Source organism: Homo sapiens, chromosome 4 (genome assembly GCF_000001405.40).
Source record: "Homo sapiens chromosome 4, GRCh38.p14 Primary Assembly".
NCBI classification, from domain to species: domain Eukaryota; kingdom Metazoa; phylum Chordata; class Mammalia; order Primates; family Hominidae; genus Homo; species Homo sapiens.
In genome coordinates, this window is record NC_000004.12 from 44,726,571 (window position 1) to 44,744,473 (window position 17,903).

At 36.5% G+C, this 17,903-nt stretch overlaps 1 long non-coding RNA gene across 1 annotated transcript in view, besides 1 other annotated feature; it reads left to right on the forward strand.

Moving 5' to 3' along the window:
* Nucleotides 189-318: an enhancer, noted in NCBI's record as "active region_21527". NCBI's record gives its function as "activates an Ori minimal core promoter by ATAC-STARR-seq in GM12878 lymphoblastoid cells {active_cell/tissue: GM12878}" and the evidence as "EXISTENCE:reporter gene assay evidence [ECO:0000049][PMID:35858748]".
* The window catches only part of LOC105374439 (uncharacterized), a 45,914-nt gene continuing 33,422 nt past the window's right edge, over nt 5,412-17,903 (forward strand). Inside the window, exon 1 of the long non-coding RNA XR_925277.3 lies at nt 5,412-5,608. This is a non-coding gene — a long non-coding RNA (uncharacterized LOC105374439). The remainder of the gene's footprint in view (nt 5,609-17,903) is intronic.

The following is a 17,903-nucleotide window of genomic DNA, read 5'->3' on the forward strand; positions in this document are numbered from 1 at the left end:
ACGGACCCGGATGCAGATAAAGGCGCAGGAAGGAACCGCGGCGTGGCTGGCGGGCGCTGCGCATGCGCACCGCCTTTAGGACGCCTGAGGTGAGACGCGAGGAGTTCGGTCCGAGTGCGGTGCGGCTGGGCGCTCTTCTTGCCTGGAAGATCGCAGTTTCTGGGTCATCACTTTACGCTACTTTCCCCTCCCCCCCATCTTTCAAAGAGGGATTTGCAGTAGATTCTTTAGGCTTATGAGATTTAGTATGTAAGACCGTAGTGCTCACACGTACTTTGTTGCTTATGTTGCTGTTTGGCAACATGAATATATTTGCCATTTATGAATACATTTCTCTCTCTACTCCAAGCTATTGAATGCATATTTGCAAACGCAATGACAGATAAGCGTCTTGTGTCAAAAAACTCATCAAAGTTTGCAAAAGGGCAAACAGTACCATGGGAAATCGGGAGCGTCTCAGTAAGAGAAAACACTATATAATAGGGTACTGGCTTTTGCTGAATGAGTCTAAGAAAGGGATAGGGGAAGCTGGAATCAGCTTTGAGCTGGGTATCACAGATGTTTATACAGGAGTGGGAAGGAATTGGGCTGTGGAAATTATTGTAAAGAAAGCAGCTATCATTCAAAAGGAGAAAAGTGTGTTGTGTCTTCACCATGTTCCATCAGGAACACTGTTCCATTAATAACACCGTTTAGGGTTCTGTTAGGAACAATACAATCTTGACTCCTAGCCAACTTAAGGTTCTGTTTCTGTGGAAACTACAAGTTAAAAAAATGTAAAACGCTGTGTCCTCAAACTCGTTATATGAAGTTTTTCACCTGGGTTGTAAATCCAGCCTGCTTCTTTGAATGTAATGACTCCTCTTGCATCCTTTAGTGAAGAGTAGGATGTTACATTCTCGTTGATTTAGCTTCAAACAGCAACATTGCTCACATACTGATAATAGACAGGTTTATTAGTACTATCGCCTTCAGTAAGTTTGCAAAAGCGATTTTTGGCCAGATTCGGTGACTCACGCCTGTAATCCCAGCACTTTCAGAGGTCATGGTGCATGGATGGCTTGAACCCAGGAGTTGGAGACCAGCCTGGGCAACATAGCAAGACCCTGTCTCTCCAAAAAAGATTGAGGTAAAATGATGAAGTAGTTTGTAGGCTATGCATAGAATTTAGGCTTTGTATTGTAGGCAATAGGGAGTCACTTAAGCTTTATGAATTGAAGATAAGAGACTAGAACATACGTGTTTTAGAAAGAATGCTGTAGAAAGGTGGAGACTGAATTACAGTCTTGAATTACAGATATGTGCCACATAAGGAAGTTTAGGTAAAGAATGGACTGGATATTTGGCAATGGTCCCATAAGATTATAACAGAACTGAAAAATTCCTATCACCTAGCGACATTGTAGTAAACGTAAAGTTGTAGAGCAACACCACTCGTGTTTGTGGCTACATAGGTGTAAACCTACTGTGCTTCCAGTCTCATAAAAGTCTAGCACATACAATTATGTACAGGATATAATACTTGATAATAAATGACTATGTTACTGGTATATGTATTTGCTATATTATACTCTTTATCATTATTTTAGAGTGTATTCATTCTATTTCTATTTTTATTTTTATTTATTTGTTTATTTTTTTGAGACAGAGTCTCGCACTGTCACCCAGGCTGGAGTGCAATGGCACAATCTTGGCTCACTGCAACCTCTGCCTCCTGAGTTCAAGCAATTCTCCTGCCTCAGCCTCCTGAGTAGCTGGGATTACAGGCAGCTGCCACCACGCCCGTCTAATTTTGTTTTATTTTTAGTAGAGACGGGGTTTCACTTATTAGCCACGCTGGTCTCGAACTCCTGACCTCGTGATCTGCCTGCCTCGGCCTCCCAAAGTGCTGGGATTATAGGCGTGAGCCACCATGCTTGGCCCTATTTATATTTTTAAAAGTTAACTATAAAACAGCCTCAAGGAGGTCTTTCAGGAGGTATTCCAGAAGAAGGCATTGTTATTATAGATGAGAGCTCCATGTGCATTATTGCCCTGATGAACTTCCAGTGGGATAAGATGTGAAAGTGAAAGACAGGGAGATTGATAATCCTGACCTTGTGTAGGCCTAGGCTAACATGTGTGTTTGTGTCTTCATTTTAACAAAAAAATTTGAATAGGAAAAAAATTAAAAATAGATTTTAAAATAAAAAAACTTATAGAATAAGGATATAAAGAAACAAAATATTTTTGGACAGCTCTCCAATGTGTGTTTTAACCTTAACGTTGTTACTAGAGTCAAAAAGTTTTTTTTTTTTCTGAGACAGAGTCTCACTCTGTTGTCCAGGCTGGAATGCAGTGTCGCAATCTTGGCTGACTGCAAACTCTACCTCCCAGATTCAAGCAATTCTCCTGCCTCGGCCTCCCGAGTAGCTGGGACTACAGGCGCATGCCACCACACCCGGCTAATTTTTTGTGTTTTTAGTAGAGACGGGGTTTCACTGTGTTAGCCAGGATGGTCTCGATCTCCGGACCCCATGGTCCCCCCTCCTCAGCCTCCTATAGTGCTGGGATTACAGGCGTGAGCCACCACTCCCGGCCAAAAAGTTTTTTAAAAATTTAAATATAAAGTAAGAAAGCTACAGGAAATTAAATTTACTATTGAAGAAAAAAAACATCGTTTTATAAATTTAGTGTAGCCTAACTCTACATTGTTTATAAAATCTACAGTAGTGTACAGTAATGTCCTAGGTCTTCACATTCACTCACCACTCATTCACTGACTTACCCAGAGCACCCTCCAGTCCTGCAAGCTCCTTTCATGGTAAATGTCCTATACAGGTGTACTGTTAATATTTTTTAATTTTTATACTTTTTTTTTTACTATACCTTTTCTTTGTTTAGATATGCAAATATATACCATTGTGTTACATTGCTTACCGTATTCAGTAATATGCTGTACAGGTTTGTAGTCTAGGAGCAATAGGCTATACCATATATGTGTAGTTTGTGTATATATGCTAGGTTTGTGTGCATATACTGTATAACATTCACACTATAATGAAATCGTCTGAAGATGCATTTCTCAGAATGTATCCCCATAATTAAGTGATGCATGACTGTATGTTATGAAGACTCCAACACGGAACGACTCTGAGTGTACCTTGTATTTTTCCTACCCAGCCTTGGTATCAGGCATTTCACTAATAGCTGATAGTTGTTTTATTAATCAACAATGGATGTTGAATTTTGTCAAACACTTTCTATGTATCTATTGAAATGGTTGTATGGTTTTCCACTCTAATATGTTGGTGAATTCAATGTTGAGTGCACTTTTATTGCTGGAGAAAATTAGATTTGGTCATTGTTTTTCTTGGTCAGGGTCTTTCTTATACATTTATTGTTGGGTTCAATGTTCTAAAATTTTGTTTAAAAATTTTACACCTATGTGTATGAGGGATATCAGTCCATAGTTTTTTTGTTTATTAGTTTTTTTTTGTGTGTGAAGTCTTTGTCTAGTTTTAGTATCATAGTAATAACAAACTTATAAATTGAGTGGGAAAATTTCCCTCTTCAATGTTTTGGAATAATTTGTGTTGAATTATAGTAACATAATGTATTCTTTAAATACTTGATAGAATTCACTAGAGAAGCCGTACGTACATAGAGTTTTCTTTTTTGAAAAAATTTAACTATAAATCCAATTTCCTGAATAAATACAGGATTATTCAGGTTATCTATTACATAATTTTCATCGAGATGTAATTCACATACTATAAACTCAGGCTTTTAAAGTATACAGTTCAGTGACTTTCAGTATACTCACAATGATATGTAACCATCACCACTATCTAATTCTGTTTTTCTATTTCTATCCCCCACCCCACATCAAAAGAGACCTCATCACCTGTTAGCAGTCACTTCCAATTCTCCCTCCCCTACCTGATTTCCTGGCAACCACTAGTATACTTCCTCTCTCTGTGGATTTGCCTATTCTAGATATTTCATATAAATGGAATCCATATGTGGCCTTTTTTTGTCTTGTTTCTTTCACTTTGCACCATATTTTCTAGCTCCATCCATGTTGTACTTCATTACATTTTATTGCAGAGTAATATTCCATTGTGTTGATATACCACATTTTGTTTATCTACTTGCTAGTTAATAGACATTTGGATTGTTTCCTGCTGCTATGAGCATTTAAACAAAAGTTTTTGTGTGAACATTTATTTTCAATTCTCTTGGATATATACCTGGAAGTGGAATTCCTCAGCCATATGGTAACTAGATGATTAACTTTTTGAAGAGCTGCCAAACTGTTTTCACAGCAACTGTACCATTTCATATTCCACCAAAAATGCATGAGGATTAAAAATTTCTCACACCCTTGCCAACACTTGTTATTTTCTATCTTTTTTATTATAGTGATTCTAGTGGATATGAAATGATTCGAATATGCGTTTCTCTAAAGACTTATGATGTTGAGCGTCTTTTCATGTGATAATTGCACTTTTGATATCTTATTTGGAGAACTGTCTATTCAAATCATTTCTTGATTTTTAAATTGGGCTATTTGTTTTTTATTGTTGAATTATAAGAGGTTTTCATATATTCTCAATAGTAGAGCCATATCAGATATATGATTTAGAAATATTTCCCTATTTTATGATTTATCTTTTCAGTTTCTTGATACTGTCCTTGGAAGGAAAAACATTTTTTTAATTTGATGAAGTCCAGTTTATCTACTTTTTCTTCAGATGTCATGATTTTGATGTGCTAGCTATGTAACTAGAAAAATTTGGGCTTGTATTTTGTGTCTTTTTTCCTTTTATTTTTCCAGTTATTCATTTTTATCATATTTTACAAAAGCACTGGTTTGTGACAAATTGAAAATTTAAAAAAAATATATCCTTCACCACAGATAGCTTGATAAGCGCTGTTTTTGAGAACTATCCTGTTTACACTGGCTAACATTTAGGGTATGTCTGTGGCCCTACACAGTGGCCAAAACAGGGTGCCAAGGGAACGGGGGTGGAAGGGATCAGTCAGGGCACAGGTCATGAGCAGCTGCTGTGGGAGCTGTTCCCTTAACCAGGGAGGAAAGGGAAGCGGTGACTTCAAATCTTAAAATTCTCAAGGTCAGGAAGATTCACACCTATGATCTGTTATAAAAGTTTTGTAGTTTTATCTTTTACATTTAAGTCTTTGAGTTAATTTTTATATATCGTATGTGGTAGAGGTTCAACTTCATTCATTTACAGGTAGACATTCAATTGTTAAAGCATCATAGATAAAAAAGACTGTTCTTTCTCCCCTTGAAAGACTGTTCTTTCCCCCCTTGGCAAACTTACTGAAAATCAGTTGACCACAGAAACATGGGCTCTCAGTTCTATTCCATTGAGCTACATGTCTATCTTTATGCCAGAACCACACTATTTTGATTAAGATCAATTTGTAATAAAGCTCAAAATCAGAAAATGTGAGTCATCCATGTCTTTCTTTTAGGCTGTTTTGGCTATCCTGGATACCTTGCATTTCCATGTGAATTTTAGGATCAGCTTGACCATTTCTGGAAAAAAAAAGGCCATTGAAATTTTATAGTAATTATGCTGAATATATCGATCAATTGGTGAGTATTACCATCTGAACTATATTAAGTCGATCAGTCCATGAACACAGGATGTCTTTCCACTTATTTAGCTCTTAATTTCTTTCAGCAATGTTTTGCAGTTTTCAGCACATAAGTCTTGAACCTTTTTGGTTAAATTTATTCCTAAGTATCTTTTTGATGCTATTGTAAAGGGAATTGTTTTCTTAATTTCATATTTGCATTGTTCTTTGCTAATGTACAAGAACACAACAGGTTTTGCAAAACCACAATGAGGTACCATCTCACACCAGTCAGAATGGCTATTATTAAAAGTTTAAAAAATAACAGATGCTGGTAAGGCTATGGAGAAAAGGGAACATTGATACACTGTTGGTGGGAATTTAAATTAGTTCAGCCAGTATGGAAAGCAGTTTGAAGATTTCTCAAAGAACTTAAAACAGAACTACTGTTCAACCCAGCATTCCCATTACTTGCATGTATACTGAAAGGAAATTAAATTTTTCTACCAAAAAAGACACATGCACTTGTATTTTCACCACAGCACTATTCACAATGGCAAAGACATGGAATCAACCTAGGTGCTCATCGATGGTGTATTGGATAAATAAAATGTGATACATACACACCATGGAATACTAGGCATCCACAATAAAGAATGAAATCACATTCTTTGCGGCAACATGGATGCAGCTGGAGGCCATTATCCTAAGCAAATTAATGCAGGAACAGAAAACCAAATACCATATGTTCTCATTTATCAGTGGGAGCTAAACATTTGAGTGCACATGGACAGAAAGATGGGAAAAATAGACACTAGGTTCTATTAGTCAGGAGAGGGAGGGGTGAAAAGCTACCTATTGGGTTCTATGCTTAGTGGGTGATGGGATCACTCATACCCCAAACTTCAATGTCACTCAATATACCCAAATAACAAACCTGCACATGTACCCCTTAATCTAAGAAAAAAGTTGAAGTTATTTTAAAAACAACAAAATGCAAAACAAAAAGCAAAGCAAAACAAAATGAAAATACTCATATGTCAAAGATCATGGTGCCCAAAACAATCCATAAAGCCAGTACTTCTAGACTTGCAAATAATTCATTGCTCAATTAAACTGTGTTTAAAAAATAAAAATAAAGCCAGGACTGGGTTAATAAGCAAAACAAACAAAGACAAAAAACAACTGAGTTTTAAATGTCAGTCTTGTATTCTGCAACTTTGCTGAACTAGCTTATTAGCTATAAGAGTTGTGTGTGTGTGTCTGTGTGTGTGTGTGTGTGTAAGGATTTTCTATATGTAAGATTATATATAGTTAGTTTTACTTCCTTTCCAATTTGAGTGACATTTATTCCTTTTTCATGTTATTTGCTCTGGCTAGAACCTCCACAGCAATATTTAATACAAGACATCCTTGTCTTGTTCCTAATTTTGGAGAAGAGCTTTCAGTCTTTCACCATTAAGCATGAGGTTTGTGTGTTTTTCATGGATGCCATTTATCAGATTAAGGGAGTCCCCTTCTATTTTTAGTTTGCTGAGGGCTTTTTTAAATAAAAGTGTATTGGATTCTGTTACTTTTCTGTGTTTGTTGAGATAACTATTGGGTTTTTTGCTTTAGTCTATTAAATGGTGTTTACACTGATTTTCCTTATATTGAACTAACTTTACATACGTGGGCTAAATCTCATTTGGTAATGTACAATTCTTTTTAGATGTTGCTGGATTTCGTTAGTTAGTGTTTTGTTGAGGATTTTAACATCTATCTTTGTAATGCCACTAATCTGTAGTTTTCTTTTCTTTTGACGTCTTTGTCTGGCTTTGGTATCAGAGTAATATGGGCCTCATAGAATTAGTTAGAAAGTTTACTCTCCTCTTTTTGTTGAGAAAAACTGATGTTAATTCCTAGAATTTGCCAGTGAAATGGTCTGTTCCAGGGCTTTTTATCTGTTAGAAGTTGTTCGATGGCTAATTCAGTCTCTTTACTTACTATTTATCTATTTGGATTTCCTTTCTTGAGTCAGTTTTGGTAGTTTGTGCATTTCTAGGAATTTGTTTCATCTAGATTCCTAGTTTGTTGGCATATAATCTAGATTACCTAGTTTGTTGGCATATAATCATTCAGTGTACTTCTTTCTAATCCTTTTAGTTTTTGTGAGGTTGGTAGAAATATCCTCTCTTTCATTCTTGATTTTAGTTATTGGAATCATTTTCTTTTTTTTTTCTTAAAAGTTCATCAGTTTTGTTGATCTTTTCAAAAAACCAACTTTTGGTTTTGTTGATTCTTCTGCATTATTTTTCTATTTCCTATTTCTTTTATTTCCACTCTCCTCTTTATTATTCCCTTCCTTCTGCTTGCTTTGGCTTAAGATTTCTCTTCTTTTACTAGTTTCCAGAGTTTTTTGTTGCTGTTTGTAGTAATTGTTTGTTTGTTTGTTTGTTTGTTTAGTGACTTTTCTGCACAAAAGTCACAAGTAAATTCTTTCATGTGTGTGGCCACTGAAATCTCTGTTCTGTTAGCCTAATGATCAGATAATGATTACGCAGAGATTCCCTTAAATGTCTGAATAATTCCACAGTCCTTGCTGAGTGATTGTGTGTGTGTGTGTGTGTGCGTGTGTGTGTGTTGGGACACACCTGCAACACAGGCAGTTTACAACTCTGCTTTAGCCTTTACTTCCTCCTTGCACAGAGCCTATAGGTTAGCCATGGGTGAGAGCTTGGGGTCTCTCGGGTCTTTGTTGAGCGTGTACATCAACCTATGCATGTGTTTGACATTCTAGATTCCAAAGAACATGTTGGAGTTTTCAAGTCTCCAATGATATCTTATTCCCCAGCATTTCCATGTTTTTTGGTTGATCTATTGTTTACCCCAAGTATTAACCATCAACTCAGCCAGCAGCAACTAAACAGTTTGCCTGTTAAGAATTTTTGACAAATGCCTCCTTCCTATTGGTAGTGACTTTATCACTAGATGAGTTCTGAGTTAGGCAAAATAAAGACAAGTCTTTCAGTGGATTCTTCCACAGTTCTTCTGTCTTAAACAAACAGGCTAAGTATGGCTGTTCTTTCGAAATGAGGCTTTGAAAGTGCTGCAGCCTTGTTTCTGCCACTGATCTGGGGAGTGAAGATGTGCCTAGGGTATGCTAAAACACCACAAAACTCACTATTCTTACTAATATTTAGCCACTTTCATTGAGTAAGTCATCCCCAGGTTTCTGCAAGTCTTTTGTTAATATATAGAGTTTTGAAACAATTGATTCTGATAGAGTTTGCTAGGTTTTCCTTTTGAAAATTTTCTCTTTAACTTCTTGAAAATATGGAATAGAGTTATGATAAATGTTTTTATATTCTTATCTACTAATTCTATTATTTGTGTTATTTCTGATTATCTTTAAATTGATCAACTTTTATTCCTTTTATTGTACATACTTTTCTACTTCTTTGTGTGCCTGTTAATTTTCCATTTGATAGTCACATTGTGAATTTTACCTTTTTGAGTGCTGGATATTATTGTTTTCCTAAAAATATCCTTGAGATTTGTTTTGGGACATGGCTAAGTTACTTAGAACTGTTAGGAAATCGTTTGGTCCATTTCAGACTTGTTTTTATTCATCTTTAGGTAGGATTAGAGCAGGGCTTTTTTCTAAGGTCAACTTTCCCTATTACGGAAGTAAGAACTTTCTTAGTATTCTAAACTTTACTTCATGAATTATGGTGTTTTCTCTTCTAGTTGTGGGTACAGACAATACGTCTTTCCCTACATGTGCCTCAGACACTGTTCTCTAACCTTTCAGGTATCTCTTTCCCTAGGCTCACATAATTTCCTCAGATACTTGTGCTGATCAATACTCAGCTGAATCCTCCAGGGGAACACTTCCAGAGTTCTCTTACTGTGCAGAGATCTCCAGAGTTCTCTTTCTGTGTAGCTCTCTCCTCTTGGTTCTTTGCCTTGCAAACTTAGCCACCTTGGCTTTCCTGGACTCCCAGTTCTGTCCTCTCAACAGTGAGACAGTGGGTCTCTGTCTGAGTTCCTTTGCCCTATACTACAACATGGAAACTTTCTGTAGACATTAATCTAAGACAACCGTAGGGCTCGTTTTTTTGTTCCTCATCACTTAGGAAACTCTGTCCTTCACTGCTGAATGTCCAGTGTTTTCAAAGATGTTGTTTCATACATTTTGTCCCATTCCTTAGTTAAGTCAAGAGGGTAAATCAAATCCCTATGAATGATCTCAGCTGGATTTAAAGAATGGTTGGCCCCTTCCAATACAATTCAGTAAAATCTCATTACCCAAATTCTGTCTAATGCTGAAAAATGTGTTGCTGTGGTTGGTGAAAAAGCAATACATTTTCTTCTGCCAGTTGTTACAACTTGTTTGCTCTCTATAAAGGGTGAGTATTAAATTTTCAGAGAGATCTTTATTAAAAAGTCATTATCAGCAATTATTTATAACTGTGTTAAGCATAAAACCTGATTGAAAAATACTGTGTTCATGGAATCAAGTTCAAAATTCTCAGGAAATAAAAATAAAAAGATGTTATTTGGAAGTTTCATATAAATTGAAGGTTAATGTCTTTCTTAATATTTTGTATTTCATTTTTCTTGTCTGAATTATGTAAAAGGAAATTGAAAACATTTGTAAGCCCGTAGATGAGAAGTCAGTCAAAATCTTGGAGGATCTTGGTGCTAGAAGTAGAAACTGAAGAAATGTAGATCAGCATGAGCGAGCGCGTGTATATTACTAAAGGGTACCCAGAAAGTTTGTATATGCATGTGTTTGTGTATAAATTTTTTTGCTCAGATTATGTAATAAAAGCAAAAATAAGGTCAGATTTGATTCAGAAAGAAGATAATTTTATAGAAATAATTACTTGCCATCTTGTGGCATACTGACTGCAAAAATAACCTTAATTCTCTACTTCCTTATTCTACTTCCTTTCTAATCTGATTGAGCTTTGTGTTCACTTATTGCACATCATGGTAGCTATTGCTAATGGATACACATCTGCCGTAATGCATCGGAGAAAGGATGTGGCCTTGTTTTGTTCCCTGTACCCTCAGGAATGATGACAAGGCTCTCAGAGATGTTGGATATATGTTCCAAGATGGGTTTCATGCTCCTGAGCAAAGGTGTTGCCACACATTTTGCCTCATGCAGGAGAAAATGTGTGTCAGATCAGGTTTCTTAGCTCATGAGTTGGGCCTCCATTGACAAGGCAAGCAATACAGGATGTCTAAGGGTTTAATAAGCTTTCATTCATAATTTTAGCCAGATAGTTGAAAATATAATCAGATAGAATAAAAGCCTTCCTACAGGAAAGTGGAATATGCTCACATCACCCACTTCTTACAGAAAATGTACAGTCTAAGAGGGTGAAAGGGGCATTTAGATTGTTAATGTGATTTGGGATTTTAGTCAGCCATCTGGTTATAAGGAGAGATGGGGAAACTGACTTGAAGATACATTTGCATAGCAGGCTAATTATTTTTAATTAAATTTTACGTTTATTTCAGTCATTTTAGGCTTGATGAAGTTGGGGGAAATGCTAAAGTCACCACTTGCAAGACTAACTTTAACCAGATTGTCCCCCTCCACACAAACACTGAAGTAGAATAAAGGCTTATCACAGAAAGAGTAAGAGGACAATTGATTAAATGAGCAAGGTGCAGTGTTCACAAGTAGAAATGAAGGAACAAGCGCCTGTTGCAGAGATAAGATGATTTAACTGCTAATGGTGAAGCAATAGTCTTTGTGTAATCAAAAGCTAGCATGAATGATTATTGATTTAAATATTTTATTAAAATCTAATTTTACCAAACCTGTCCACCATGGTTTACATCTTATCATATTTGCGTTTATTATAGGAAGGTTCATTCTGAGCAACATAAAACATCATTTATATGCTGCCATTTCAATTTAGTCACTATTCTTTTAAATTAAAACAAGAGTTTTTGATTTTGAAAGACAAAAAAGCCAGACAGTAAAGTCTGAAAAATTTATATCAGAACTGAGATGTTCTTAAGATTTCTTTAGACAAGAATCATAAAAATGCAGATGGTAAGAATATATAATGAGATTTAGGGAATTTCAATTTTAATAACAGAGTAAAGCGCTGTCTCTTGACTGTAAATTAATAAAGGAAGTTTTCCTGGGATCATAAACTGTGAAATTATAGCCTCAGAGGCTTTCCAATGACAACTAACACTAAGATTAAATAAGGGCTTTAGAATTAAATATCACAAGGTATTGTATTGAAGAATATATTGTTGTAAAAAAATAGCTGTAAAACTTAGTCAGTGTATTCTAAAATTTACCAATGGAAGCTAAAGAGAAAAGTTTAGAGGCATACTGAATAAATAATTTAAGATTATATGCCAAAGAAATTATTGACAATACTTCTCTTTTATTGATAAAACTATTTGTACCATACAGTGAAATGCTTCATATTCATAGAGGTTTTGGAATAGAATTTAAACTTCCAGAGTTATTAAAATGAGTCCTGAATAACTTTCATGAATATGAGGACTTTGTAGGTCTGTCCTCAGCTATATTCTTGGCATTTAGCATAAAGCCTGAACATGGTAGGTGCTCGGTATTCAATGTTATTTCTATTTACAATGAAAGCTGCTGCTGTGCTACACTTTTACACAAGAGGGCGTGATTGAAACTGATATAAGACAGGCTATGCTGATAGTACTACTGCATTTTCATATAAACTGTGGGTTTTGCTTTTTCTAGTCCATCTTTATGGATAGCAGGTCACTCTGGATGCCCTTCTATAGAATAGCAGCAACAGGCAGCAAAAACTACTTAAAAATCCATTAAACTGAAGTTTTCTACAATATAAAACATAGTGTCCATTTTCATTTGTTAGATTTAACAGATTTACCAGATAACTCAAAAAGAAAACACAAAATAGAGTGATCAGAAATTTTAGGAGATTTTCTTGAATAGCAACTTTTCCATATGAACTGGGGCTCTGTCTCAGATTATTACCATGGGAATTGTGCTTGTCTTTGGATAGTATGTCCCTTAAATTTCATTTTTTTCCATTTTTGTGAGTAGTGAACAAACTAGTATCAACAAAGTTAACCTTGAAAAAGAAAATGTATTCTTTAGAGAATGAAATGGCAATAAAAGGCAAAAGGTGAAACTGGAGAAGTGGCTGCTAATATTTTATATGTTGGGAAGAAGGAGGTAGACTTAATAGGTGACCGTGCTGGTTCTACAAAGATCCAAGGCACAGACACTTCCTGACAATTGTATATTACAATTGTATAGCTATTATAGTTTGCCCTTGCTCCCTTGTCTTCCAGCTCTCTCCTCATGGGCTCACAATGGTCTTATTCAAAAATAAACAGTATAACAACCCAATACCAACAATAAAAAAATCCTCTACAATTAACTTCCTAGATATTTGTCTTGCTTGGCAACAGTCACCATGACATATTCACTGTTAAAATTGATGGGCACTCTTGATCTTCCTATTTGATCTCTGGGAAGCATTTAGTTCCATTGACCTCTCTTCCATTTAAAAATATTTTTCTCTTCCTGCTTTCCTTCTTACCTTTGTGGACTTTCCTTTTTAATCTCTCAAATGGGCTTTTCTTTCCCAGATTTCTTCTTTGGCTCTCTTCTCACTTTATACATTATCTCTGAACAAACACTTCCATCCTATGACTTCAGTTATATTGTCTGAAATTTTAAACTCTAGCCTTCCTCTCAAGCTTGAGCTCTAAGTTCCTATGAAACTGAGCTCTAGGCTTTACAGCTGGAAATTCAGATGTGTTCAAAGAGATCTCAGCACTCTTTACCCCATATCCATTCTTATTTCATTGTTTATTTCAGTGAATGGCAATACCATCTGGCCAATGGCCCAAGCCAGGTGTCTTGGCAATAATTTGGACTTCACTTTCTTTCTCAGCCTCCACATCTAATCAACGACTCTTGGAGACATTATTGCTTATCTCTACACCAGCCAGTTTCAACCCTCTCTTCTTATTGCTGGAAACTGCCACCTATTTTAGAGGCTGAAAGGCCAGATTTTGCTTTCTCAATTTTCCTTGCATTTAAGGAATGGACATTTTACCTAATCCTCATTAATGGGACATTGAGGAAGATGAGCTTCAAGTCTTCTGGGAAAGACCTTTCTCTCTGATTACGAAACAGAGATGCCTATGCAGAGGGCTCATCCTTTTACTTCCTGTTATGAACATTGCTGTTTGAAGATATGATGCTCAAGGCTACTGCTTGAAAAAGAGAAAGAGCTGCATAGACATGTCAACACAGAGTTCTGACAAGAGTTTAGCAACTGTGTTGTGAAGGTCATTTTATGTATCAACTTGACTAGACTTAAGGATGCCCAGATAGCTGGTAAAATATTATTTCTCGGTTTGATTGTGAGGATATTTCTGTAAGAGTTTTGAATTTGGATTAGTGAGATGGCCCTCACTGATGAGTGGACATCATCTGAGACCACTGAGGGCCTGAACAGAACAAAAATCCGGAGGAAGGGCAAATTTGTTCTCTTTTCAGGAGCTGAGCCATCCGTCTTCTTCCACCTTTGGATATCGGTACTCCTGATTTCAGGCCTTCAGACTTGGATTGGGTTTAGATCACGGGCTTCCCTGGTTCTCAGGACTTCGGGTTTGGGCTGGAACTATGCCGCAGCATTCCCAGGCCTCTAATTTGCAGAGGGAAGATTTGGGGACTTCTCAGCCTTCATAATCAAATGAACCAATTCCTCATGATAAATCTTTCTTTACATATCTATATATGTCCTTTTGGTTCTATTTCTTTGGAGGACCCTGACTAATACATGTGCCCATCTCTTTTCTTATTACACAAGAAAATGACCCCAAATTATTCTCTTACGTACAGTTGGAATTAGTCTATTGAAATTTAAGGTTAATTGATTTTCACTGCTAAATGTATTTTGAATTTGACTCCTTCTTTTAACCCCCTTTGCTAATATCTTTGTACTGAACTGTATTATTTCTGGTATGGATTACTGCAACAACAGCCTCACTGGCTTATCTGCTTCTATCACAATTCTTCTTCTCCAGTTCAACTTTCTCTCTAGTATCTGAGTGATTTTATATGTAAACTTCAAACCAGAGAATGTCTTTGCCCTTGTTACAAAATTTTCAATGATTCTCATTAAACCTCAAGACAAAGTTTAACTTCCTTCAAAGCAGAGCATGAAAGGCCCCTCCTGAATCTATACTCGCTCTCCATACCCACCTCCTTCAGTTTTGTACTCCCACTATATGCTATTTGTACTGAGCTATTGTGCTTAGTTTTATTGAGATACAGTTTTTATTACTTTTAAGTCTGAGACTTGTAAGCTTCTTTCCTGACCCAATTTACCTGCAATGCACTTGTACCTCAATGGGGATTATTTATTCTCAGACAGTTTAACTTACACAATAATGATATGGAAAGATAAGTTTTGTTTTAGCCTCAGAAAGATAGAAGTTTATGGTATAATGTGCAGGTCAAAAGATCTCTGGATGAAGTCTTTAGTAGGCTTAGTTCTGGTTTCCCTTAATAGTTACACTCTTCTTCACCTCAAGACCTTTATTATGCTGTTCCTTCTGTCTGGAATGTTTGTTTTTCCATTCTGTCTCTGTCCCGTCCCACCTCATTTCTAGTCCCTCAATATTAAGTTCCATTTTTCCCAGATAGCCAAAAATATTAGTAGGTTTTGTTAAGTGGTCAAGTAGTCCCTAAGCAGCCACTACTATTTAAGCTGCTAGATTGACTCACTTCCCACACTTCTGTAAATTTGGTTGGTAAGGAAATAATGAACCTGAATAGATTTAGTCAGTTTCTTACTCATGGGGCATTAGGCAGTATGGGTTTCAGGATTGCATTGTTTCCCTTGCCCTTTCTTCAGCTTATGGGGGTGATGCAGAGTGGGCCCTGGTGGGCGCTGCACACACAGTGGGTTTGTGTTGCAGCTGAGAAATGCTGAGCTTGGGAAGTCAATCTTTTAAGGAGCTGCATGTTTTAAGTCAACATATCCGATTTTTGTTCCTGAGAGAGACAATGTCTTTATTATCTTGATCAGGAGACAAATCTGTTCTCTGACCTAGAGGGAGAAAGTCTTTCTTATTTCCAAGAATATTTGCTATACAAAAATTGAAGAAATGCAATGGAAAATTGCTCTCAACAGTTAAGAGCTAGGAATCAAACAGATCTGGGATTTAAATTTATATGTTGATGAGTTCCAAATTTATTTCTCCTGCCCAGACTCTTGCCTCAAACTCCAGTCTGAAATATCCAGTTTCCTACCTGACAAATATACTTGAATGTCTAATAAGAATATCAACCTTACTATGTCCAAGTCTAAGCTCCTGATATTTCCAATCTAATCCTTTCTTCCCAAAAGTTAATGGCAACTGATCTTTCTGGTTGTTCAGGCTGCAAATGTTGCTGTCATTTTTGACTCCTTTCTTTCTCTTACACTCCACATTAAATTATCTGCAAATCCTGTAGGTTCAACTTTCAAATATATTGAGAATCTTACGGTTTGTCACTCTTCTACTGTTATCATACTTGTACAAGTTGGTACCTTCTGTTTTCTGGATTATTGAAGATGTGTTCTAACCAGTCTTTGTTTCCTCTCTTGATTGTTTTCAGTGTAATAAGCCAAAGTGATCCATTAAAACATGGCCTCCTAGAAAAAAAATCTCATTTTCGTATCATGAACAAGCTTAAAGACCTGACTATGATCTACAAGGTCATGTATGATCTTCCCCTCTCCACCCTTTGTCATTCTGATTTCATTTTCTGGTGCTTTTCCGTGTTCTCACTTAGCCTCAGCCATACCAGCCTTTCATCCAAGGGCCTTTCTACTTGTTGTTTATTCTCCCTTAAGTGCTTTCCACTCAGAGGTCTGCATGCCAAACTCCCTGGCTACCTTTAGGCAATTACCCAAATGTTGCCTTCTCTCATATATTCACCTGCTTGACAATTACAATTGCCTGCTTGACAATTACACTTAGGTGTCTAACAACATGTCAGATTTAACATCTTTGTCATAAGACTTCACTGATCATCTTTGGGACACTGTCTCACACAACATAGATGCTTAGTAATTATTTGTTAAATGAATAAGTAAGTAAATAGACTTGGATTTAAAACTTATTGTTGCCAGACCTTGGAAAAGTTAGTAAATTTTCTAAGCCTTTCTCATTAATAAAAAGAAAAAAACAATAGCATGATTGGAGGGTTAAATGATATAACATGCATAAAACACTTAGAATGCCTAGTGCCTGGCACATAGTAGGCACTCTGATACCCTAAGTACAGAGATACCTCATCATTTCCCTCCCAATTTGTGTTATTCGTGGGTCATCATAGAATTCTCTTATATATGTAATATATATAATATTATATGTTAATTATTAATATATTGCCTAATTATGTGTTAATGTGTTAACAATTGTGTGCCCTTTTTGGTGTTTGGCTAATAGTAGGATCTGGGAAAATGAGTGATTTGGAGCCAGACATAGTGGGGTGCACCTGTAGTCCCAGCTCCTCAGGAAGCTGAGGCAAGAGGATCCCTTGAGCCCAGGAGTTTGAGGCTGCAGTGAGCTATTATTGTATTACTACACTCCAGCCTGTGTGATAGAGTGAGACTCCCTATCTCTTAAAAAAAAAAAAAAAGTTATTTAGCAGGTTACAAGTTGCCTTAAATATATCATCTCATTTTATCCTCAGAACCAATCTAGGTAAAATCAGCTCAGTTTTAGATATGAAAAAACTGAGATTTAGAGAGATTCACTGTCGAAAGTCAGTATATTGGCAAATCTTGACTGGTGATTTTTTTTTTCTTATTACACTTTAAGTTCTAGGATACATGTGCACAACATGCAGGTTTGTTACATATGTATACATGTGCCATGTTGGTGTGCTGCACCCATTAACTCATCATTTACATTAGGTATATGTCCTAATGCCATCCCTCCCCCATCTCTCCACCCCACAAGAGGCCCTGGTGTGTGGTGTTCCCCACTCTGTGTCCAAGTGTTCTCATTGTTCAATTCCCAACTATGAGTGAGAACATGCAGTGTTTGGTTTTCTGTCCTTGGGATAGTTTGCTGAGTATGATGGTTTCCAGCTTCATCCATGTTCCTACAAAGGACATGAACTCATCCTTTTTTATGGCTGCATAGTATTCCATGGTGTTTATGTGCCACATTTTCTTAACCCAGTCTATCGTTGATGGACATTTGGGTTGGTTCCAAGTCATTGCTATTGTGAATAGTGCCACAGTAAACATACATATGCAAGTGTCTTTATGGCA